General features: G+C 39.5%; 1 protein-coding gene across 3 annotated transcripts in view; it reads right to left on the reverse strand.

The window, feature by feature from the left end:
* Positions 1-25,572, reverse strand: part of CFDP1 (craniofacial development protein 1) — a 139,794-nt gene that overhangs the window by 50,185 nt on the left and 64,037 nt on the right. The window contains exon 8 of one of the 3 annotated variants that reach the window (XR_007064847.1): positions 15,305-19,141. The exons of the other annotated variants lie outside the window; for them this stretch is intronic. The gene's annotated coding sequence lies outside the window, so the exon portion shown is untranslated. Of the gene's footprint in view, positions 1-15,304; positions 19,142-25,572 lie in introns of those variants that run through there. 3 annotated transcript variants of the gene reach the window in all.

Below are 25,572 nucleotides of genomic sequence, written 5' to 3' on the forward strand. Positions count from 1 at the left end.
TTATGCAGAATTTTTAAAGGCATTTGCTTAATTGTGACATTTTAAGAATCTCTAGCAGGGTACTCACTTCCACAGCATGTATACTAAAATTAGAATCTCTAGCAGGAAACAGTTTCCCCCATTCCCAAATTAAAGCAGCACGAATAATTTTAGAGGTCTTATTTAGTGCAATTACTGTATGACAACAAGCTGTAATAAACCAGTTACTTAAAACCCAACCGATGAATTGCTTGGCTACTGGATGAAAGTAACTAACTTTTGGCAGTAGTGCATAAATTCTGAAGCTGATGAAAAGCTTGCTCTGTCAGTATATACAAGGCTTTGAGGGACTATGCATGTTTTTTCACTGGTATACACAAACATAAAAAGGAACCAGAGTGATGGCTACACAACACTGTGTATGTACGAAATGCCACTGAATTGTACACTTTAAAATGGTTAATTTTATGTTAGGTGTATTTCACCACAGTAAGAAAACAAAGGAAATCAGGTGTCAAATCACTTTAATTGCTTTAGAAAACAAAATCATGGGACTTATGCCATTAGAAAAGTAACTATAAAATAATGGTACAATTCGTGACTGAACAACCACGTTATAGCTTATGTTCAGATATTTTATAGTAGGCGTGTATTCACCTAAGAAAAACCAAAACAAGAAGAAAAACTGAATGAAAAGCTACTCAAAACAAATCTTCAGAAAGGGACTAATAACCCTTACAAAGAGCCCAGAAGTAACATCATTTAGAAAGAACATCCTGGCTGGGCACAGTGGCTCACACCTGTAATCCCAGCACTTTAGGAGGCCCAGATGGGTGGATCACAAGGTCAGGAGTTTGATACCAGCCTGGCCAATATGGTGAAACCTTGTCTCTACTAAAAATACAAAAATTAGCTGGGCATGGTGGTGCGTGCCTGTAGTCCCAGCTACTTGGGAGGGTAAGGCAGGAGAATCACTTGAACCCAGGAAGCAGAGGTTGCAGTGAGCTGAGATCGTGCCACTGCACTCCAGCCTGGGCAACAGAGGGAGACTACATCTCAAAAACAAAAAAAGAAGAAAGAAAAAAAGAAAGAACATTTTCAGGCTGGGTAAAGTGGCTCGTGTCTGTAATCACAGCACCTTGAGAGACTGAAGTGGGAAGATCACTTAAGCCCAAGAGATCAAGACCAGCCTGGGCAATCCCAGCACTTTGGGAGACTGAGGCAGGAGGTTCACTTAAGCCCAAGAGTTTGAGACCAGCCTGGGCAACAAAGCAAGACCCCATCACTACAAAAATAAAACAGGCTGGGAGCAGTGGCTCACACCTATAATCCCAGCACTTTGGGAGGCCGAGGCAGGTGGATCACTTAAGGTCAGGAGTTTGAGACCAGCCTGGCCACCATAGCAAAACCCTGTCTCTACTAAAAATACAAAAATTAGCTGGGCATGGTGGTACATGCCTGTAGTCCCAGCCACTCAGGAGGCTAAGACATGAGAATCGCTTGAATGTGGGAAGTGCAAGTTGCAGTGAACCTAGACCGTACCACTTTACCTCAGCCTGGGTGACAGAGTGAGACTCTGTCTCAAAAACAAAACAAAACAAAAAAAAACAAAACATTATCTGGGCATGGTGGCTATGCATCTGTAGTCCCAGCTACTTAAGAGGCTGAGCAAGAGGAAGGAGGACTGTTTAAGCCCAGGAGTTCAAGGATGCAGTGAACTATAATCATGTCACTGTTCTCCTCCCTAGATGACAAAGACCCTGTCTCTTAAAAAAGAAAGAAAAGAACATCCCAAAGTCTGCAAGAGAGTTTGGTAATAAGAGATCAAGATCATATGTTTTTTTCATGCCATGAGTTGTTAAACAAAAGATCATTTGTTTTCTTACTGTGATCAGTTAGACCACCATGAGGAAAATAATTAAGTAAACTTTAAAATCTTGAAAAATGCTGAAAACTTTGAAAAATGTTCAAGGCACATGACAGTGGGTCCTAAGTTGGTGCTCATTTGCTGTAAGACCTGGTCATGTCATCGGTGACTAAGCTGAGGCTGCACCAGAGAACATAATCAAGGTCTTCTAGATATGAGGTCTGAGGCTTCCAGGTCTCTACTCAAGAAGAAATCTGAATGCATGTGAAGTGAAAAAGAATTGGATGGTAGTGTGAGCAACACGGAACAATGGCTCAAATGTCAATGTTCAGTACTCCCAATGCATCTCCCATGAGCACTTCACTGTGCTTAAATTCTGCTGAATCCTCAGTGTTTACTAGCACATGTGAAGTGAAAGTAACAGAAAGGTGGTGAGATTGTGTCCTGGATTCTGACATCAAAGCTGTAGGTAAATGTAAATGAAGTAGCCCAAGGACCAGGAATGTCAATGTGCTGAAGTTCTCTAGGGGTAAACTCTCCAGTGTAAAGAGCACCAGGTAGGGCTGGGCATGGTGGCTCACGCCTGTAATTCCAGCACTTTGGCAGGCCGAGGCAGGTGGATCACGAGGTCAGGAGATCGAGACCATCCTGGCTAACACGGTGAAATCCCATCTCTACTAAAAATACAAAAAATTAGCCGGGCGTGGTGGTGGGTGCTTGTAGTCCCAGCTACTCGGGAGGCTAAGGCAGGAGAATGGCGTGAACCTGGGAGACGGAGCTTGCAGTGAGCCGTGATCATGCCACTGCACTCCAGCCTGGGTGACAGAGCAAGACTCTGTCTCAAAAAAAAAAAAAAAAAAAAAAAAAAAAAAAAAGAGTACCAGGTGGACAGGATGAAGGAAGCAACAATAAACTAAGTTTTATATAATCGATATTGGATATACTTTGATTTTCCAAGATAGCTCTAAAATCTTCCACTCAAAAAAAAAAAAAAAAAGTCAGCACCTACTACAAAAGATTGATATGCCATCCAAACTCTGGAAATAATTTTGCCCCATTCCTCTTCTCTGAGGTGGTATTTTGCTGCCTAATCAAAACTCGAAAATCTAGTTAGTCAACAGGACTTGCCCACCCCACTCCTGAAAAAAAATTCTGCTTAGCTTGGGAAAACACAGATGGTCTTGTCTGTCCTTCCATATGACAGCAAGTAGTTGGTGTCACAATGCGTCCCGGGAGCAGGAGTTCAGTAACAAGGGTCAGCATTTCTTTATTAATAGCATGAAAATGCATCCCAAGTGACCTTCAAAATAGAAGAAAGAACAGGCCAGGCACGGGGGGCTCACACCTGTAATCCCAGCACTTTGGGAGGCTGAGGTGGGTGAATCACGGGGTCAGAGTTCGACAACAGCCTGGTCAACATGGTGAAACCCTGTCCCCACTAAAAGTACAAAAAGTCAGCTGGGCATAATGGCGGGCGCTTGTAATCCCAGGTACTCAGGAGGCTGAGGCAGGAGAATCGCTTGAACCCAGGAGGCGGAGGTTACAGTGAGCCGAGATCGGACCATTGCACTCCAGCCCTGGCGACACAGTGAGACTCCATCTCAAAAAAAAAAAAAAAAAAAAAGAAAAAGAAAAAGAAAAAGAAAAAAGAAAAAAAAAGCAGGCGCAGTGGCTCACGCCTGTAATCCCAGCACTTTAGGAGGCCCAGGTGGGTGGATCACGAGGTCAAGACATCGAGACCATCCTGGTTAACACGGTGAAACCCTGTCTCTACTAAAAATACAAAAAATTAGCTGAGTGCAGTGTCAGGCACCTGTAGTCCCAGCTACTCGGGAGGCTGAGGCAGGAGAATGGTGTGAACCCGGGAGGCGGAGGTTGCAGTGAGCTGAGATCGCGCCACTGCACTCCAGCCTGGGTGAAAGAGCGAGACTCCGTCTCAAAAAAAAAGGAAGAACAAAGCAATACAAAACCATAAATTTAAAGGGAAAACTTTACAGTGGAGACATCTGACAAACTCCATCTTGACCAAATGATTAAAGTTAATATGAGTAATACACTGATATATGAGAAAAGGACAAATCCCCTCTCTGGTGGTCTCTCCAACATCCATAACCTCATTCTCATCATGCGAAATCACGAAGCAAACCCAAATGAAGACACACTCTACAAAATACCTGGCCAGCACTTTCCAAAGGCAATGTCATGAAAAATAAATATAGGCTGAGAAACTGTCATGGGGCGGGAGAAGACTAAGGAGACATGACAACTAACTAAATGTGGAAAATGGGTTTGGGTCCTGGAACACAAACGGTTATTAGTGGGAAAACTGTCAAAATCTGAAGTCTATCGTTTAGTTAATGGCGCTGTACCAATGTTAATTTCTTTCTTTTTTAGAGACAAGGTCTCACTTACTATGTTGCCCAGGCTGGAGTACAGTGGTGATTCACAGGAGTGATCACAGCACACTGCAACTTCAAACTTCTGGCCTCAAGCAGTCTTCCCTCCTCAGTCTCCAAAATAGTTGGGACTGCAGGTGTGAACCATGCTTGGCTCCCAATGTTAATTTCTTAGTTTTGATAAATGTACTAAGATTATATAAGATGTCAGCATTAGAAGAAGCTGGGTGAAGCGCTTATGGGAACTCTGTACTATCTTTACAACACTTCTGTAAATCTAAAGTTATTTCAAAATAAAATTTAAAAACAATAAACAAAAAAATCAACTTTAAGCCCAAAGCCTAAAATTTCTTGGGCTCTGCTTTTGTGGCTCATCTTGAATGGGAAAGAAATGCTCATTTAATATTAAAAACCTGCAGTAGACCATAAGTTGTTTTTTTCTTTTTTGGCTCACTTTATATTTTTAAAATTCAAATTTTACTGCAGTAATTATTTACTGCAAGCTTTTTTTTGTATTGATATAATTTGCACATCATAAGATACAGCTCTTAAGTGAATCATGTCTGTGTTGCCATATTATCTTTCAATCCATGAACATTAAATGTCTTTACTCAGAACTCATTAATTTCTTTGAACAGTATTTTGTAGATTTCAGCATACAATTGTGCACATCTATTGTCAAAGTTATTCCTATTCTTTTTGATGCTTTTGTAAATGGAACTGTCTCCATTTAATTTTTGTTTTCAGAGACAGGGTCTTGCTGTCTGCCACCCAGGCTGGAGTATAGTGGTACGATCACAGCTCACTGCAGCCTCAAACTCCTGGGCTGGAGCGATCCTCCTGCCTCAGCACCCTGAGTAGCTGGGACTACAGGGGCATGCCACCACACCTGGATAACTTTTTTTGTTCGTTTTCTGGTAGAGATGGAGTCTCTGTTGATCAGGCTGGTTTTAAATTCCTGGCCTCAAGCAATTCAGCCTCTTAAAGCCTCCCAAAGTGCTAGGATTACATCCATGAGCCACTGCACCAGGGCTGTCTCCTTAATTTCATTTTTGGATGGTTCACTGCTAGTTTATAGAAATACAGTTCTTAGGCTGGGTGCGGTGGGTCACACCTGTAATCTCAAGGCACTGTGGGAGGCCAAGGCAGGTGGATTACTTGAGGGCAGTTCAGGACCAGCCAGGCCAAAATGGTGAACTCCCATCTCCACTAAAAATAGAAAAATTAGCCGGGCGTGGTGGCGGGCGACTGTAATCCCAGTTACTCAGGAGGCTGAGGCAGGAGAATCACTTGAACCCGGGAGTGGAGGTTGCGGTGAGCCAGGATCATGCCACTGCACTCTAGCCTGGGTGACAGAGCGAGACTCTGTCTCAAAAAAAGAAAAAAAAGAAATATAGTTCCTAGCACTTTGGGAGGCTAAGGCAGAAAGACTGCTTGACCCCAGGTTGAGAATGCAGTGAGCTGTGTTTGTGCTGCTGTACCCCAGCCTGGGCGACAGAGCGAGACTCCGTCTCAAAAAAAAAAAAAAAAAAAAAAAAAAAAAAAAAAAAAAAAATATATATACATACATATATACGGTTGATTTTTACATATTGATCTTGTATCTTGTAACCTTGCTGAACTTGTTCATTAGTTCTAATCAATTTTTAGTGGATTGCTTAGGATTTTCTCCATATTAGAGCATACCATCTGGGAATAGTTCAACTCCTTTCTCTCCAATTTGGATGCCTCTTGTTTCATTTTCTTGTCTAACTGCCCTGGCTAGAAGCACCAATACAAAGTAGAATAGAGATGGCATGAGTAGACATACTTGTCTTTTTCCTATCTTAGGAGAAAAGCATTCGGTTTTTCATGATTAAGTATGACATTAGTGGTGGGTTTTTCATGGATGTCCTTTATCAGATTGAGGAAGTTCCTTCTATTCTTAGTTTGCTAAGTGTACTCTGTTCTTTTTTATAGCTGAATAATATTCTACTGTTTGGACATACATTTTGTTCATCTGTGTTTATCAGTTGAAAGTCATTTGAGTACCTCTACTTTTTGGATGAATAATGCTGCTATGAACATATGTGTGCAAGTTTTTGTGTGGATATATGTTTTCATTTTTTGTGGGTATATGCACAGAATTGTTAGGTTGTATACAGCTCTATGTTTAACTTTGAGAATCTGCCAAACTCTTTTCCTATGTGGCTACACCATTCTATATCCAACCAGCAAGGTATGAAGGTTTCAACTTCTCCATACCCTTGCCAACACTTGCTATTTCCATCTTTTTAAATTATAACCATCCTAGTGGGTGTGAAGTATTATCTCACTGTGGTTTGATTTGCATCTCTCTAATGAATAATTATGTATTATAAGCTCTTTTAAATTAAGTATTGTTATTTTTAAATTATTACAGACATTTAATCAGACACTTAATTGGCCATAACTTAAGTAGAGGATAGCCTTAAATTACGTTGAAATCCTTGCCAGAAACCACAAAAACATATAAGCATAAGACTATTCATTGCAAGACTCTGTAATAACAAAAGACTAGAAGCAACCCAAATGTTATCAAAGAAAACTAATTGAACAAACTGGTAATTCATACAATGAAATACTTTGCATCCGAAAACAAAATAAATGAGGAAACTCTCAAATGAAAAAAAGTAGAGAAAATTGTATATGGTCTATTACCGTTAATCCAAGATACGCAAGATAAATAAAAATTTAAATGGGAACAAAAGCAATTCCCAAAAATAAATGAACCTAATGTGTCCAACTGGTAACATTACTACAAACAGAAAAACTACTTCAAGTGACTTTAGAACACAGAAATTTGACTATACATTTCTAGTGAGATAAAATCTAATGACAAAAAAAAACTGCAAAAACAAAACAAAGCACAACAAGCCAATTTAAACCATTTGTACTAATCATACATACAATAGGTCAATGTATGTATTGTGAAATAAAATAAATGGATATTTATATGACATCTCATCATTCCGGTGTTTTGTTCTTAGGAAGGTAGAAGCTTCAGATTTAAGATAACCTGAGAGTTCTAAACTTGATTTGTAAGTAGCTGTACTGTTTCTAAAGTAAAGAAATAAAAATAAGACAAAGCAAAACATAATTATTTACTCTATGTATTGATAAATCCTTGAAACAATAACCAACTCAGTAGCAACTGGCATTCTTATCCCTAATGTCTTGAAATAATGTTTCCCACAGAAAGAAAGCAGGGCTTCCAGATTAGATGACTAATACCAGGTCTGGGACAGGAAATGTACTAAAGGGGCCTGGAATGTTTTGTTATGCCATACAGGGATGGAAGCTAGCAAAGACTATTAAGGTCACTATCAAAATAACTAACTAATTTGAAGAACTTATTTGTCAAATATAAAACACTTTGAGAATCAATAAGGATAATGACTGCAATGGACTGAAACAACATCAAATGTTTAAATTCATGAGTTCATAATAAAAAAATACAAATTAGTTACTATGGAGGAGGTTAGTGTACCAATCAATTTTGAAAATGAAAGGGAAAATACTTATCTTTCCTATATGAATTGGGAAAATAAAAGGATATGAAAAGGTAAATAGCCAAGTGTGGTGGCTCACGCCTGTAATTCCAGCACTTTGGGAGGCTGAGGGAGGTGGATCATTTGAGGTCAGGAGTTCGAGACCAGCCTGGCCAACATAGTGAAACCCCGTCCCTATTAAAAATACAAAAATTAGCCAGGTGTGGTGGCACACGCCTATAATCCCAGCTACTCAGGAAGCTGAGGCAAGAGAATCACTTGAACCCGGGAGGTAGAGGTTGCAGTAAGCCAAGATTGCGCTACTGCACTCCAGCCTGGGCGACAGACTGAGACTCTGTCTCAAAAAAAAAAAAAAAAAAAAAAAAAAGAAAAGGTAAATGAAAGAATTTATTCGCTGGGTGCTGTGGCTCACACCTGTAATCCCAGCACTCCGGGAGGCTGAGGTGGGTGGATTACTTGAGGTCAGGAGTTTGAGACCAGCCTGGCGAACATGGCAAAACCCTGTCTCTACCAAAAATACAAAAATAAGCCAGGCATGGTGGTGCGTGCCTGTAGTCCCAGCTACTGGGGAAGGTGAGGCAGGAGAATCGCTTGAACCCAGGAGACGGAGGTTGCAGTGAGTCGAGATCACGCCACAGCACTCCATCCTGGGCAACAGAGTAAGACTTTGTCTCAAAAAAACAAAACAAAACAAATTAAAAACCAACAAAAAGACCACCCAATTAAAAAAAAAAGAATTTATCTTCCTATATGAATTGGGAACCAAACAGAGAAGGAGATGAGACTTATTATCTTTAGAAGCATTACAACAAATAAATGAAGAAATGATAAAATTAGACTGCCATCATTTCATAACCATAAGTGTAATAAGTGTATCATAATCATAAGTGTATCTCTATCTTTTTAAAAAAATAATAATTTTATTACAGGGACGTTTATGTCTTCCTTTAAAGATTCAGAACTTTAACTATGGTTTGACTCACAATTTTTTGCCTTTTATCATGGTGTGAAAGTGATATGCATTCCGTACAAACTACTCTGAGTACCCATACACCCATTCTGGTTTTCACTTCCAGTACAGTATTTGATAAACTACATAAGATATTCAACACTTTATTATAAAATAGACTTTGTGTTACATGATCCTAGTGTATCTAGGATATCAACAGCTACTAGCATCACAAAAAAAGAAAACCAGACCTTATGTGTCCCAAAATAAAACATCACTCTAATACAGTCTTGATAAGAAAAACTATATATGTGAAATTGAAATCTGATTGTCTTCCGATAAAACTACCAATTTACAAGAAACACACAGGACAGAGGAACATGTTAAACTCTACTATGAGGATGTAACCAGCAAAACCCATGAGTATGTGGGCAACATCCTCAGTTTCTTCAGCTCAGTTTCTTCAACAAATACATTCCAAGTAGAAAAATTGAAAAAAAGATGGAATAGAAATCTGATGATTAAAAAGGACTAAGAGGCAGTGCCAACCAACTGCCATGTATAGACCTTACTGGATCCAAACAAACTGTAAACAATTAACCAAACTTATTAGACCAATTAGATATTTAAACACTGACTGGGTATTTGGTAATATCATGAAGACATTATTTTTTCTTAGGTATGTGAATAGTATGTAGTTATGTTTAAAAAGAAGAGATACATACTGAAATATTTATGGGTAAATATTTTTAGATATATATCAAAAATTTATGTGTAAAATTATATACAATACCTGAAATTTGCTTCAAAATCATATGTGGGAGTTAGGTAGGAGTACAGGTGATATATAAATAGTCATTAATGAGGCTGGGGGCGGTGGCTCACGCCTGTAATCCAGCACTTTGGGAGGCCGAGGCGGGCAGATCACAAGGTCAGGAGATCGAGACCATGGTGAAACCCCATCTCTACTAAAAATACAAAAAATTAGCTGGGCGCGGTGGCGGGCACCTATAGTCCCAGCTACTCAGGAGGCTGAGGCAGGAGAATGGCATGAACCCGGGAGGTGGAGCTTGCAGTGAGCCGAGATCGTGCCACTGCACTCCAGCCTGGGCGACACAGCAAAAGTCCGTCTCAAAAAAAAAAAAAAAAAAAAAAAAAAAAGTCATTAATGGTTAATTACTGAAGTAGATTTAAAAAATGGACCATGGTATTAAAAGAAATAATGATAAAAAATTCCTTAACAGAGTTTTCAAACCATTTTTCCCTTCAGTTTTAAAGCTTTTTGTTATTTTACTGAATCTCTGTTCTAAGCCCCTTTCTGGGAACAGAAAAGACTATGTCCCTTACTATAGTTTGACTTAGAATTTTTTGCCTTTATCATGGTGTGAAAGTGATATGCATTCAGCACAAACTACTCTGAGTACCCATACGCCCATTCTGGTTTTCACTTCCAGTATAGTATTTGATAAATTACATAAGATATTCAACACTTTATTATAAAATAGACTTTGTGTTACATGATTTTGTCCAAGTACAGGCTAAGGTAAGTGTTGTGAGCACATTTAAGGTAGGCTAGGCCAAGCTTTGATGTTTGGTAGGTTGGGTGAATTAAATGCATTTTCAACGTATATTTTCAACTTACAATGCATTTATTGGGACATAACCCCATCATATGTCAAGGAACATGTGTAGTAACTTGCTGAGTGCCTGCCACATACCCGCACATTCTCTCATGGCTCTGCATTCACTGTTGTGGAGAAGAAAGTTGAAAGAGATCACAGAGCGGGATATGGCCAGGGAGGAATGTGAAGTCCTGGTCTGCCTAACTCCAGCCTTAAAGTCATATGAGCATGAGGTTCACAGCCTTGGTGTTAAAAAAAAAATCCAAGACATATCTCCAAGAGAAGTGTCCTCATGATGCATAAAAACATGATGGCACTGTTAGTCTCTCAGTTCTGACAAATGCACCATGGCTATGCAAGATGTTGGGTAAAAGTACATGGCACTCTCTGTTCCATCTTTCCAACTCTTCTGTAAGTCTAAAATGTGCTTCTTTTCTTAAATGTGGTGGGGAAAGGGAAAAGTGCTGTTTTAAAAGTTACTGCTTAAATGCAACAGGGTATCCGCAACTGGATCCTGGAATAAGATGCTAAAAGACACTTGTGGGAAAATGGGAAATTATAATAAAGAGTGGAGTTTGGATAATAGTACCGTCCCGTTGTTAATCTCTTAATTTTGACAAATGTACCACTGCCAAATATAAGATGTTAACATCAGAGAAAGCTGGGTGACACATGCAGGGACACCTAGGAGATATTTTGGGTTCAGTTCCAGACCACAGCAATGAAGCAAATATCACAGTAAAGTAAGCCACACAAATTTTTTGGTTTCCTAGTGTATATGTAAGTTATGTTTACACCGCACTGCAGTCTATTAAGTGTGTAATAGCATTATGTCTAAGAAAAACAATGTACAGATCTTCATTTTAAAATATTGCTAAAAATGCTGCTGATCATCTGAGCCTTCAGTGAATCAAAATCATTTTGTTGGAAGAAGGTCTAGCTTCAGTGTTGATGGCTGATGACTGATCAGGGTAGTGGTTGCTGAAGGCTGGGGTAATTGTGGCAATTTCTTAAAATAAAACAACAGTGAAGTCTGTCACATTGACTCCTCTTTCATGAAAGATTTCTGTAGCATGCAATGCTGTTTGATAGCATTTTACCCAGAGTAAAACTTATTTCAAAATTGAAGTCAATCCTCTCAAACCCTGCTATTGCTTTATCAACTAAATATATACTATTCTAAATCCTTTGCTGTCATTTCAACAATGTTGACAGCATCTTCACCAGGAGTAGATTCCATCTTAAGAAACCACTTTCTTTGTTCATCCATAAGAAGCAACTCCTCATCTGTCAAAGTTTTATCATAAAATTGAAGCAATTCAGTCACATCTTCAGGCTCTGATATGGTCTGACTCTGTATCCCCATCTAAATCTCACCCTGAATTACAATAATCTCCATGTGTCAAAGGCAGGATAAGGTGGAGGTAACTGAATCATGGGGGCAGTTCCCCCATGCTGTTCTCATGATAATGAGTGAGTCTCCTGAGATCTGATGGTTTTATAAGCATCTGGCATTTCCCCTGCTTGCACTCATTCTCTCTCCTGCCACCCTGTGAAGAGGTGCCTTCCGCCATGACTGTAAGTTTCCTGAGGCTTCCCCAGCTATGCGGAACTGAGAGTCAATTAAATCTCTTTTCTTTACAAATTACCCAGTCTCGGCTATTTCTTCATAGCAGTGTGAGAATGGACTAATACAGGCTATACTTCTCATAGTAGCTCTCTTGATATTTCCATTGTATCTGCAGTTACTTCCTCTACTGAAGTCTTGAATCCCTCAAAGTTACCCATAAGGGTTGGAATAAACTTCTTCTAAACTCCTGTTCCTGTGGATATTTTGGCCTCCTCCCATGAATCACAAATGTTCTTAATGGCATCTAGGATAGTGAATTCTTTCCAGAAGGTTTTCAATAAACTCTGTCCAGATTCATCAGATAAATCACTATCTACGGCAGCTATAGCCTTATTAAATGTATTTAAGTAATAAGACCATCACAGCTTGTCAGGAGTGAAAATAAACAAATAAACAAGTAACACTTCAAAGTTGAAATTACTTCTTGATCCATGGGCTGCAGAATGGATGTTAACAGTAAACAACACAACATTAATCTTCTTGTACACATCCATCAGAGCATATGGATGACTGGGTACACTGTCAATGAGCAGTAACATTTTGAAAGGAATCTTTCTGTCTGAGCGGTATGTCTCAAAAGTGGGGTTAAAATATTCAGGAAACTATGCTGGAAACAGATGTGCTGTCATCTATGTTTTGTTGTTTCACTTAAAAAACACAGAGTAGATTATAATTCTTAAGGGCCCTAGGATTTTTAGAATGGCAAATGAGCACTGACTTCAACTTAAAGTCACCAGCTACATTAGCCCTTAGCAAAAGAGCCACCTTATCACTCGAAATTTTGAAGCCAAGCATTGACTTCTCCTTCCGAGCTAACTGAAGTCCTAGATGGCATCTTCTTCCAATAGAAAGCTATTTAAAAAAATAATAAGAAGAAAGAAAAAAGAAAAGGCTGTTTCATTTACACTGAAAATCTGTTGTTTAGTGTAGCCACCTTCATCAATTATCTTAGCTGGATCTTCTAAATAACTTACTGCAGCTTCCGCATCAGAACTTGCTGCTTCATCTTGTACTTCCATGTTATGGAAACAGCTGCTTTCTTTCTTTTTTTTTTTTTTTTTTTTGAGACAGAGTCTTGATCTGTTGCCCAGGCTGTAATGCAGTGGCGTGATCTTGACTCACTGCAACCTCCGCCTCCCAGGTTTAAGCAGTTCTCCTGCCTCAGCCTCCCAAGTGCTGGGACTACAGTCGTGTGCCACCATGCCTGGCTAATTTTTGTATTTTTAGTAGAGATGGGCTTTTGCCATGTTGGCGAGGCTGGTCTTGAACTTCTGGCCTCATGTGATCCACCCGCCTTGGCCTCCCAAAGTGCTGGGATTACAGGTGTGAGCCACCTCGACCAGCCTGGAAACAGCTTCTTTCTTTTTTAAAATTATTTTATTTATTTTTAATTTTTAATTTTTTTGAAACGAAGTCTCATCCTGTCACCCAGGATGGAGTGTAGTGGCATGATCTCAGTTCAGTGCAACCTCCACCTCCCGAGTTCAAGCGATTCTCCTACCTCAGCCTCCTGAGTAGCTGGGACTACAGGTGTGCACCACCATGACCAGCTAATTTTTGTATTTTTAGTAGAGACGGGGTTTCACCATATTGGCCAGGCTGGTCTCGAACTCCTGACCTCAACTGATCTACCTGCCTTGACTTCCAAAGTGCTGAGATTACAGGTGTAAGCTCCTGCAGCTGATGAAACAGCTTCTTTCTAAGGAAAGAATCTCATGAACAACCTCTGCTAACTTCAAACTTTTCTCCTGGAGCTTCCTCTCCCTCAGCCTTCATAGAATTGAAGGGTTAAGGCCTTACTCTGGATTAGGCTTTGGCTTAAGGGAATGTTGTGTGGTTGGTTTGATCTTATTCAGACCATTCAAGCTGTCTTCAGATCAGCAATAAAGCTATTTCACTTTCTTATCATTTGTGCGTTCACTGGAGTAGCACTCTTAGCTTCCTTCAAGAACTTTTCTTTTGCATTTACAACTTGGCTAACTGTTTGGTACAAGAGGCCTAGCTTTTAGCCTGTCTTGGCTTTCAACATCTTTTCTTACTAACCTTAAATCATTTCTAGCTTTTGATTTAAAGTGAGAGATGTGACTCTTCCTTTTACTTGAACACTTAGAGGTCACTGTAGGGTTACTAACTAGCCTAATTTCAATATTGTTTTGTCTCAGGGAATACAATATTTACCAAATAAGTTTGTTATCCTATGTGGGTGTGGCTCATGGTGCTCCAAAACAATTACAATAGTATCACCAAGGATTACTGATTGCACACCGCCATAATAATATAATAATAATGAAAAAATTTGAGATATTATGAGAATTACCAAAATAGGACAGAGACATGAAGTAAATACAAGCTGCTGTTAAAATGGCACGGGTAGATATGCTCAACTCAAACCTTCAATGTGTAAGAAACACAGTATCTGTGAAGCACAGTAAAGCACAGTGCCATCAGATGAGGCATGCCTACATATAGGAACTCTCCATGTCATTTTAGCAGCTTTTCTGAAATAATAATCTCTTCAGATATTCAATACAACATTATTCTAAAGCTTTTTTAATAAAAAAATGAAACAGCAAGTTATTAAGTAAAATAAATATTTTACATAAAATGAGGTATTTATTAAAGCTTGATTCTTAACTAGGTATCTTTTAAATATTTTTTATGAAAATGAAAGTGATCATAAAGCACTTCTGCCAAGAGTGGGAGTCTCCAGGAAGAGCATTTGTACAACCAAATTACAAGCTGAATTACCTACTTTTCCCCCATGAACACCATTTTTACCTGAAAAAAATGACTGGCAGATAGACTATGGTTATTCATACTTAAGTATTCGACAGACATTTTCTCTTTTCTCGAAAGTGAACAATGTCTGTCTGTCCAAGACCTGACAGTATCTGCTGGCAGTGATAAATTCTGAGCTTTAGAATTTTGGAAAACTTGTTGCCTACCACCGTGAACTAGACAGCTTCCTTGTGAAGACTTTTGATTGGCACTGATATTAATGAATGTGACTTGTTGAGAATGTCTAATGAAATCAGTCAACGTTAGAAGAGCTGTATAACCCAGTAATCAGCAGTTCTGAAATGATTAATGCATGCTGTTACATCACTGTTCACATTTGGCGTAGTATCACAAAAGGATAACCAAAATTATCAAAACAGCTAGTAAAATACTCCTTCCTTTTCCAACTACATATTTGAGTGAGACTAAATTTTCTTTATATAATTCAGCCAAAACAACTGATTAAAATAGACTGAATGGAAAAGCAGATCTGACACTCCAGCTATCTTCGATTAAGCGAGATATTAAAGAAATTTACAAAATCATGCTATTCTAAATTTTAAAAATATACTAGTTTATTTTAATTTCTTATACTATAAATAACAACAGTTATAACCCAGTCAATAATTTTGAAGAGCGTAAAGAGGTCCTGAGAACAAAAAGTTTGAGAACTACTGAGTCAGAGTAACATGCACACGAGCCTCTTTTCCAACAGGAAAAGAAAGCCAGATTCTTATTAACAGAGAATAATTCACACCACTGGTTCCAAAATAGCAAAGCTCTGCAGAGGCTAATACGCTGTGAAGGGTATTAAGTGCTGAATTTTTAGCTAGTCTATTCAATGATGCTGTTTTCCCCTAAGACTCTTAAGGGGTGGAAAAATAAGACAAAACAACAAAACCACCCAAAACTCATGCCTTGGATTTGCCAAATCACTAAACCAATCTTTCCTGAGACTCCAATGCAGTCATGACCTGTATGCAATTGCCCTAACCATGATCACCTCCACCTTGCACTTGGTACCAGTGCCCACCTTCTATCAGATTCTATTTTCCAGGATAACAACCCTAAGCAAATTTGGAGACATATCAGGTTTTGAATTCAGAGCAAAACGATAACAGCCTCTGGCCCAACAGGGATATGCTTCACTGTCTTCTTGACCAAACCCAATTTATCTGAGTGCCAGTGTTTTATAAGTAACATCTACAGTTTTCAGTGTTTTATTTATTGTGCTATCAAACTTCACATTTGCATTGCTAATGGCTACTCTCCAAAGAAAGCTGAAAATGATCTGCTGAGAGACAACAGCAGTGCAGTGGCACCTTCTTAGCTCACTGCAGCCTCAAACTCCTGGGCTCAGATGATCCTCCTGCCTCAGCCTTCCCAATAGCTAGGACTACAGATGCATGCTCATTTTTAAAATTTTGGTAGAGAAGGGGGTCTCACTATGTTGGGCAGCCTGTCTTGAACTTCTGGCCTCAAGCAATCCTCCCATCCTGGCCTCCCAAAAAGTGCTGGGATTACAGGCATGAGCCACTGCGCCCAGCCCAGATTTTGGTTTCTAATATTACTTTCCACTAAAGGAACCAGGAACCTAGATGGGAGATGACTCCATGTCTTGGGGCAAAAAAACAATAAAGACCATTCTGGTATTTTCTAGCACTGCCAGAAAGTAAGAATACTTTTCAGACTGCCAGAGTTAGTGTCAAAAGGACAAAGGAATCAGCTCAAAGACAATGCCATTAGCCAATCTATGACAATCTGAGCTTCAAAAAGAAAATAACTATGGTTAACTGAAGGAAACCGAAACAAAACTAATTTTGTAAAAATAATTTAGCACCAGAGGGTCCAAAACAGGTTTTTGTACATGGAAAGGAATACTACCCCTCTTCTTATATCGCATTAACCCCCAATGGGAGCATAAGTTAAAGACAAAAACAGAGCATACATAACAATAACTTTCCTGTGGCTGAATAAAATCCCTTCTAGTAGAAATTGTTGAAAATCAAGATAACTGGAAATTTGCCACTAGTTTACCCCAAACCACACAGAATAAGTCTTATTAATAATTGTATTTATATTTTATCTCTTAAGATGTTTGATGTGCTTAAAAGAACAAGCTACCTTAATTTATATGTAATATTTAAGCAACGTTAATTTTCAATAGACAAATTTAACAACTGACCATTAAACAAACCATAAAAATATTACAGGTAAGATGTTAAAAAGATTCACATAAGAATTCTTTTTTAAAAAGAAATAGTAAGAAACAGCAGTTGATCTTCCACACCATCTCTAGAAACATCATCCAATGTTAAGATACATTTTTGGCTATTCTTTCAAACATTCCACCCATTCACCAATTTTCTTTTCTTTTTTTCTGAGGCAGGGTCTTACTCTATGGCCCAGGCTGGAGTGTAGTGGCGTGATCTTGGCTTACTACAACCTCCACCTCCTGGGTTCAAGTGATTCTCCTGCCTCAGCCTCTGTAGTAGCTGGGAATACAGGCACGCACCACCACACTCGGCTAATTTTTGTATTTTTTAGTAGCGATGGGGTTTTGCCATGTTGGCCAGGCTGCTCTCGATCTTCTGGCCTCAAGTGATCCACCCGCCACAGTCTCCCAAAGTGCTGTGATTACAGGCATGAGTAACCACACCCAGGCAAGTCAGATATTGTTTAAATTTAAAGCCGGGCGCGGTGGCTCACACCTGTAATCCCAGCACTCTGGGAGGCCGAGGCAGGTGGATCACTTGAAGTCAGGAGTTCAAGACCATCCTAGACAACATAGTGAATCCCCACGTACACTAAAAATACAATAATTAGCCAAGTGTGGTGCCGCACGCCTGTAATCCCAGCTACTCAGGAGGCTGAGGCATGAGAATCGCTTGAACCTGGGAGGCGGAGGTTGCTGTGAGCTGAGATCATGCCACTGCACTCCAGCCTGGGCAACAGAGCAAGACTATGTCTCAAAAAGAAAAACAAAACCAAAAAGACACACAAATCAACTTAGGAAGGGATAAACATGTAAAAAACTCAAAGAATTAAAAAAAGTTTTTTTACAATACACAATAGAACTGTCAAAAGGCACTTGCACCCTCCATAAATACACTGTAGAAAACAACTCTGAACACATGAACATGTTCTCTCCTTGTCTGGTTTCTTTTTGAATTTCTCAACGTCTGTTTCCTCTTTGGGTCCCAGGTTTCCTTGTATTTGTTTTCAGAATTTTACTATTATTTTTCGCTCTCTTCCTTCTCCTATTCTGCTACGGCATGAGCTGAAAGCGTGGCCTCAGGAAAACAAGCAAAAGAGCCTGTCTTGACCAATAATTCCCATACCTACAGGAAGTCATTTGTACAAAATGAAGGAACTCAGAAAAACCCAAGAATTCAATGAAGTTATTCATTCGGAGATGCTTTTGCCGCAATCGAATGCTTGCTAGTTCCTAGACTGCATGATCTACACAAATTGGGTAATAAGTCAGACGGGACAGTCCTGGGTCAGTACTGTCATTTCCTTTTCCATGTCTGCCCTACAGGCTTCAAGGCCAGGCAAAAAATATCCTTCATACTAAAAATCAAGTCTCCATACAGATCAGTGGTCTTGCCTATGGCCTATGGTGTAGCATCCTACTTTGGGTAGAAAGGCGGGGCCCAGCTGCACCTCTAGGAGGGCTGATATCAACACTGTGCTGAAAGGCAAGGGGGGTCAAGTTTAAAGTTCAGCATACTTCTCCTTTGAGGAGTCAACCTCCCGTCTTCCAGGCAAGGCATCCCTATGTTCTGGGTTTTCCTGGACAGTCTCAACTTTTAATTTTACTTCTAAATGTGTAATTACATTTGACTTAAAAAATACTGTCCGAATAGCTATGCTGATTTTTGGTTTGGAAAATATGCTCACCATGGCTCAAGAAACCATGTAACATAATAATGCAGCCAATCTCGACCTACAACACAAGCTGTAAGTTAAGGTACCCTCGAGAACACTACTCTTTCCTCTTCCATTCCTTCAGGTGTTATAAAAGCAAGCCTAAGTTAAAGTTCTATTTCCTAAGAGGGAAAAGAATTGCTTTTCAATGCAACTGTAGTTCACGGTGGCCCCTCTTACTAATGACTGCAAAGCTTCTGCCCCACAGTGTTGTTTTATACAGAACAGACACTAATTCTTTTTATAAACAATGATATTACATGGAACCAGAAGCGAGAGCAGGAGGCCTATGTACAGACCTCAATGGCTGCAGCAGAAGTTCCAGCTGAGGTTTTGTTATTATGGCAGTGGCAGATCTTATGGCAATGGAGGGTCTTGCAGCTTAAATAAAAGCAAACTGTTGGCTCTGAAATCCAGATACTTGTCTTCTGATGACCCAGTGGCATGTGAACTGAGAATACTGAAAGAATCACCACCAGGAAACATATGTAAGCATTTGGCCAACTTCATTCAGACACAAGCGTTAAGTTAGTACAACGCTCTTTACTCTGGCACTGGAGTCAGGTTTGACAAATCCAACATGGTCTTTAAAAAAAAATGCTATTTTGTTTTTCTATAGAAAAATGTAACAACCAAAGAATGACAAAGAAATCTTTGAAATAGTAAAAAGACTTAATGTATGAAAGTCTGAGCACCAAAAAAAAAAAAAAAAATTTTTGCCATCCCCTCTTGTGACACTCCTAAATGGATTGTTAATACTTACTGCTCATCTAGTGCACAATCTATGAGGAATGAGAACAAATGCAGGAAGCACTTTACCTTTTTTTTTTTTTTCCATGAGATGGTGTCTCGCTCTGTCGCCCAGGCTGGAGTGCAGTGGCGCAATCTCAGCTCACTGCAACCTCTGCCTCCTGGGTTCAAGGGATTCTCCTGCCTCAGCCTCCCGAGTAGCTGGGATTATAGGTGCCCGCCATCACACCCAGCTAATTTTTGTATTTTTAGTAGAGTCAGGGTTTCACCATGTTGGTCAGGCTGATCTCAAACACCTGACCTCAAATGAGCCACCCACCTTGGCTTCCCAAAGTGCTGCGATTACAGGTGTGAGCCACCATGTCCAGCCAAGAAGCATTTTATCTATGCAAAAAAAGGTGTTTGGTCAAGAACTGTCTTCTGGCAACTGTCCAGAACTGGTCAGCACTGACATAGGAAATTGATAGGAGTTTCCCAAAGATCCTCATTCATTCATTCAATAAATATTTACTAACAAACTATTATGAACCAAGTACTGAACTGAGACAAGCGAGCAAAACAGATTTGATTCACGCCCTCAGGAAGTTAATAGTCTAGTGGGGGAGAAAAGAGGTGAAACACACACACACACACACACACACACACACAGCCATGCAATTACAAATTGAGGTAAGTGCTACAGAAAAGAATTAGGGGCTGTGAAGGTTCATACTAGTGGGAACCTAATTTAGATTGGAGATGTGTCCTCTGAGGTACTTCTCCCCTCTAGATCTATGTGTTTAAAGTGAAATTAAAAAAACAAAACAAAACAAAACAAACAAACAAACAAAAAAAACTATTACTTTAAGCACCTTTCTGCCAGAAAGAAAATAAGGGCTTTATTTAACAATTCACTTTTTAAAAAAATGGTATTAATGTACCAAGTAAAATACTCAAAAGGTATTTTAAAATAAGCCTCCATTCTACCCTTTGCTGTCTTTTAGCTACCAAATTCCCCTTTCCCCAAGACCAACACTGTTCTTAGCTGCCTGAGTATCCTTCCAGAGATATATTAAACCTGCAGTTCTCAGTGTGGTTCAGGGACCCCAGAGAGATGGGAGATTTTTTTCAGGGAGCTGAAAAGGTTAAAGCTATTTTCATGACAACACGAAGACATTATTTGCCTTCTTCTCTTGTATTCTGTCACAAGTGGATTTTTCCAGAGGCTACATGGTGGGTGACGGTGTTATTGCTCTGACAGCTAATGGAATGTGTGAAGAAGATGCAGAGTCAGCTATCTTCAATGAAGACAGATATTTAAAAGATTTGTAAAAATGTAAAACAATGCCACTCTTCTCACAACATTTTTTTGTATTGGAAAATATACTTATTTTTCACAAAAATATGCTACTTATGTTAACATGTAATGAGTTTACCACTGTTATTTGAAAATAAGTTAATGTTTTAAATTTCTCAGTTTTAATTTCTACTACTGTAAATATCAATAGGTATTAAGGGCTCTTTGGAGTCTTCAATCATTGATATGGATATAAAGAAGTCCTCAGACCAAAGAGTTTGAGAACCACTAAACATTTATAAATGTATGTCAAGTGCTAAACACTGGCCATTAACTGCATCATTCTGGTGGATGTTTTTTAGTGTATTTTAAATAGATGGGTGCTGAGAAGGAAACCAAGTTACTTATTTGTGACTATAATGTGTTGTGGATTATTTGGCTATCAACACGACACGAATTTCACCATGGTGACTGGCTAGTTGTTTTTCCATAGCATCTTAAATATTTGGTATATTAATATGTGGAGTTACTCTAAGCCCATAAACAGCTTACAAATCAGAAAGTAATTATAAATTTTATGTGATAACTGAAGTTGAATGGCAAGGTTAAATACATCTGTGTTAAGTCAAAAAAGAAGCTATTATTAAATGGAATAACATAGTAATAAAGCAGCTTTTTGGGACTAACCCTCCCTCAGACAGATAACAACTATATACTCTGGCCAATACATAGAAAACTCTTGCCTATTTGAAGGCACTGGAGAGCAACCAAAGCCAGGCAGAAATTGGAGTGGATTCAACCTTTGAGAGAAGGGGACTGACTGTGTGAGATTAGTCAGTCTCTGTGGCACAGACGGACTAAAACTTAAGCAGAAAGATGCTTCTCCATGGGTTATGGAGACAGTACTAAGTCTGGCTGTCAGAACAGCTGGAAAGTGAGGGAGGAAGCCCCAACTCAATAAGATACACAGTCAGGCATAGTAGCCAGTGCTTGTAGCACTAGCTACTCAGGAGGCTAGGGTGGGAGGATCACTTGAGGCCAGGAGGATCACTTGAGGCCGCTGTGCCTCACTATACTCCAGCTTGGGCAATACAGTGAAACCCTGTCTCAAAAAAACAAACAAAAAACCAAAGAAGACATACAACTCATAATTCATCAGAGAAGATATACAAATAGCCAGTAAGTACATGAAAAGATACTCAACATCATTAGGCATTAAAGGAATGCAAATTAAATACAATGAAGTACCACTACCCATCTGCTAGATCAAAAAGGCCAACACTACCAGCTGTTCATGAGGAAGTGGACAAAGCGAACCCTCATGCACTGCTGGTAGGAATGTAAAATGGTGTGACCACTTTGGAAAACAATGAACAATTCCTTAAAATTTCTTTGAAAATAATTTACCAGCCAGCATATTTCACTCCTAGGTATCAATCCTAGAAAATGAAAACATGTCCACATAAAGACCTGTACACAAAATGTTCATAGCAGCATTATTTAAAAAGCCAAAAAGTAAAAACAACACAATGTCCATCAACTGATGAATGGGATAAGTATAATGTGGTATAGCTATAAAGTACAATATTTTTTAGCAATAAAAAGCAATGAATTATTGATATATACTACACAAGAAAACATTTGTTTTCTGGCAGTTGTCCAGAACTGCTCAGCACTAACAAATGGGAAATTGGTGAGTTCCCCAAAGATCCTCATTCATTCATTTTTGGATGAACTTCAAAAACACCTTATAGCGAGGCCAGGCACAGTGGCTCACACCTATAATTTCAGCACTTTGGGAGGCTGAGGCAGGCAGCTCAGTATCAGCCTGGCCAACATGGTGAAACCCTGTCTCTACCAAAAATGCAAAAATCAGCCGGGTGTGGTGGCACACGCCTGTAATCCCAGCTACTGGGGAGGCTGAAGCAAGAGAATCGCTTGAACATGGGAGGCGGAGGTTGCAGTGAGCCGAGATCGTGCCACTGTACTCTAACCTGGAGTGGATAGAGTGAGTGCGACTCTGTCTCAAAAACAAACAAACAAAAAAACCGTTATAGGGAGATAGATACTGAAAGACTATGTAGTGAAATTTCCAGACAAGGCAAATCTACGGAGACAGAAAGCAGATCAGTGGTTGTCTGGAGGGCTCCCATCTTCTGGGGCTGAAGATGGGAGCAGGAATTGACTGCAAATGGGCAGAAGGAAACTTTTTGGGTGATGGAAGTGTTCTAAAATGAAATTGTACACAATGAAAGTTACCACTTTAAAAAATTTACTATAGGCCGGGTGTGGTGGCTCACACCTGTAATCCTAGCACTTTGGGAGGCCAAGGTGGGTGGATCACGTGAGGTCAGGAGTTCAAGACCAGCCTGGCCAACATGGCAAAACCCTGTCTCTACTAAAAATACAAAAATTAGCTGGGTGTGGTGGCAGGCACCTGTAATCCCAGCTACCTGGGAGGCTGAGGAAGGGGAACTACTTGAACCTGGGAGACAGAGGTTGCAGCGAGCCGAGATGGCGCCACTGCATTCCAGCCTGAGTGACAGGAACGAGACTCCATCTCAAAAAAAAAAAAAAAAAAAAATTACTACAAATTATTAAACTATACATTTGTATTTGGATGAATTTTATGGTATGATAAATCCCCACCACCACCCAAAAACCTGTTTAAAACAATAGAAAAATTTAGGGAGAGTATTAGGAAAAATAGCTAATGCGTGCTGGGTTTAATACCTAGGTGGTGGATGGGTTGACAGGTGCAGCAAACCACTATGGCACACATGTACCTATGTAACAAACCTGCACATTCTGCACATGTACTCCAGAACTAAAAAAAAAAAAAAAAAAATTGCTAGGGATAAGGGGGCAGGGTGGGAGAGATAAAATGAGACTTAAAAGACTTAACAGTCGGCTGGGTGCAGTGGCTCCCATCTGTAATCCCAACACTGTGGGAGGTCGAGGTGGGCAGATCACCTGAGGATAGGAGTTCAAGACCAGCTTGGCCAACATGGTGAAACCCCATCTCTACTAAAAATACAAAAATTAGCCGGTCGTGGTGGCAGGAGCCTGAAATCCCAGCTACTCAGGAGGCTGAGGCAGGAGAATCACTTGAACCCCGGAGGCAGAGGTTGCCGTGAGCCAAGATCCTGCCATTGTACTCCAGCCTGGGCGACAGAGTGACACTCCATCTCAAAAAAAAAAAAAAAAAAACTTAACAGCCAGACCGGATATGGTGGCTCACGCCTGTAATTCCAGCACTTTGGGAGGCCGAGGCAGGTGGATCACTTGAGGTCAGGAGTTCGAGACCAGCCCAGCCAACATGGTGAAACTCTGCCTCTACTAAAAATACAAAAATTAACTGGATGTGGTGGTGGACACCTGTAATCCCAGCTACTCAAGGGCTGAGGCAGAAGAATCGCTTGAACACGGGAGGCAGAGGTTGCGGTGAGCCAAGATCGCACCGTGCCCTCTGGCCACAGAGAAGACTCCATCTCAAACAAATAAAACAAAAAGATTTAACGGTCAAATGGAATATGTGGACCTTGTTTACATCCTGACTCAAGGAAAGTAGCTACAACAAAAAACTTACGATACAATTAAGGAAATATGAACACTGACTAAATACTGGATATCAAGAAATTATTATTATTTTTAGATGTAATAATGGTAATTGCTTTTAAAAGAATACTTTTAAGAGATATACACTTAAATATTTACAGCTAAAATCACAGCACGTTAAAGTTTTGCTTCAAAATATTCAGTGGAGGTTTTGGTGGTGGAGTGGATGGAGAGCTATCATAGATGATGTAAAATGGGACATGTGTTAAGTACTGAAGATTGGTTACATGCACATGGAGAGATTCATTATGCTAGTCTCTCTACTGTATGAAATTTTCCACAATAAAAAATAAAAGGGGTATAGTAATGTCTACCCGCAAAGATTTGAGTATTCAACTTGATAACACATATAAAGGATTTAATATAAAAGATTGGCAAAATATTGATAACTGTTGAAGTTTAGTGATGGGTACAGGGATTCATTATACCTTACACTTTACTTTTGTGTGTAGGTCTGATATTTTCTTTCTTTTTTTTTTTTAGACAGGGTCTCACTCTGTCAGCCTCAACCTCCTAGGCTCACGCAATCCTCCCACTTCAGCATTCTGAGTACTACAGGCACGTGCCACTACGCCCAGCTAATCTGTGCATTTTTTGTAGAGATGGAGTTTCGCCATGTGCCCAGGCTGCTGCAATTTTTCATAATAAAAAGTTGTTTGTTTGTTTTTTTTTAAGGAGTCTGATACTTACACATTTTCATTGTGGGTATCAGTACTTTCCTTTTTACATTTTTCAATAACTTAAAGAAAGTAAGGATAAAATGGAATAAAATATTCCAATACTTGCACAAACATGTCTTGCTTTATGAAGACCAAAACATTTATGTGGCCAATCAGCTAATGTATCAAATTCAAGGTTTGGTTAAAAATAGGCACATCAGAAATGTAAGTGTAATATGTGTAAATGAGTTGCTCAAAAGTCCAAAGTAAATACAGTCCTCCTCTCCTCAGTATAGTTTTTGAACGTAAATAAGACTGATTTCGTCAGGCATAGGAGAAATTATTTTTATTTAGGGAATAATAAAAAAAGTAGCTTAAAATACATATTGCAGGCCAGGCGCAGTAGCTCATGCCTGTAATCCAAGCACTTTAGGAGGTCAAGGCAGTATTGCTTGAGCCCAGGAGTTCAAGACTAGCCTTAGCAATATAGCAAAAGTTCGCTTCAAAAAAAACAAAAACAAAACAACCCACAAAAAAACAAAAAGCCAAAAAACCCGCACACTGCTATACAGAATTCTAGCTAGATGC

The sequence above is a fragment of the Homo sapiens genome, chromosome 16 (assembly GCF_000001405.40).
Source record: "Homo sapiens chromosome 16, GRCh38.p14 Primary Assembly".
Classification (NCBI taxonomy): domain Eukaryota; kingdom Metazoa; phylum Chordata; class Mammalia; order Primates; family Hominidae; genus Homo; species Homo sapiens.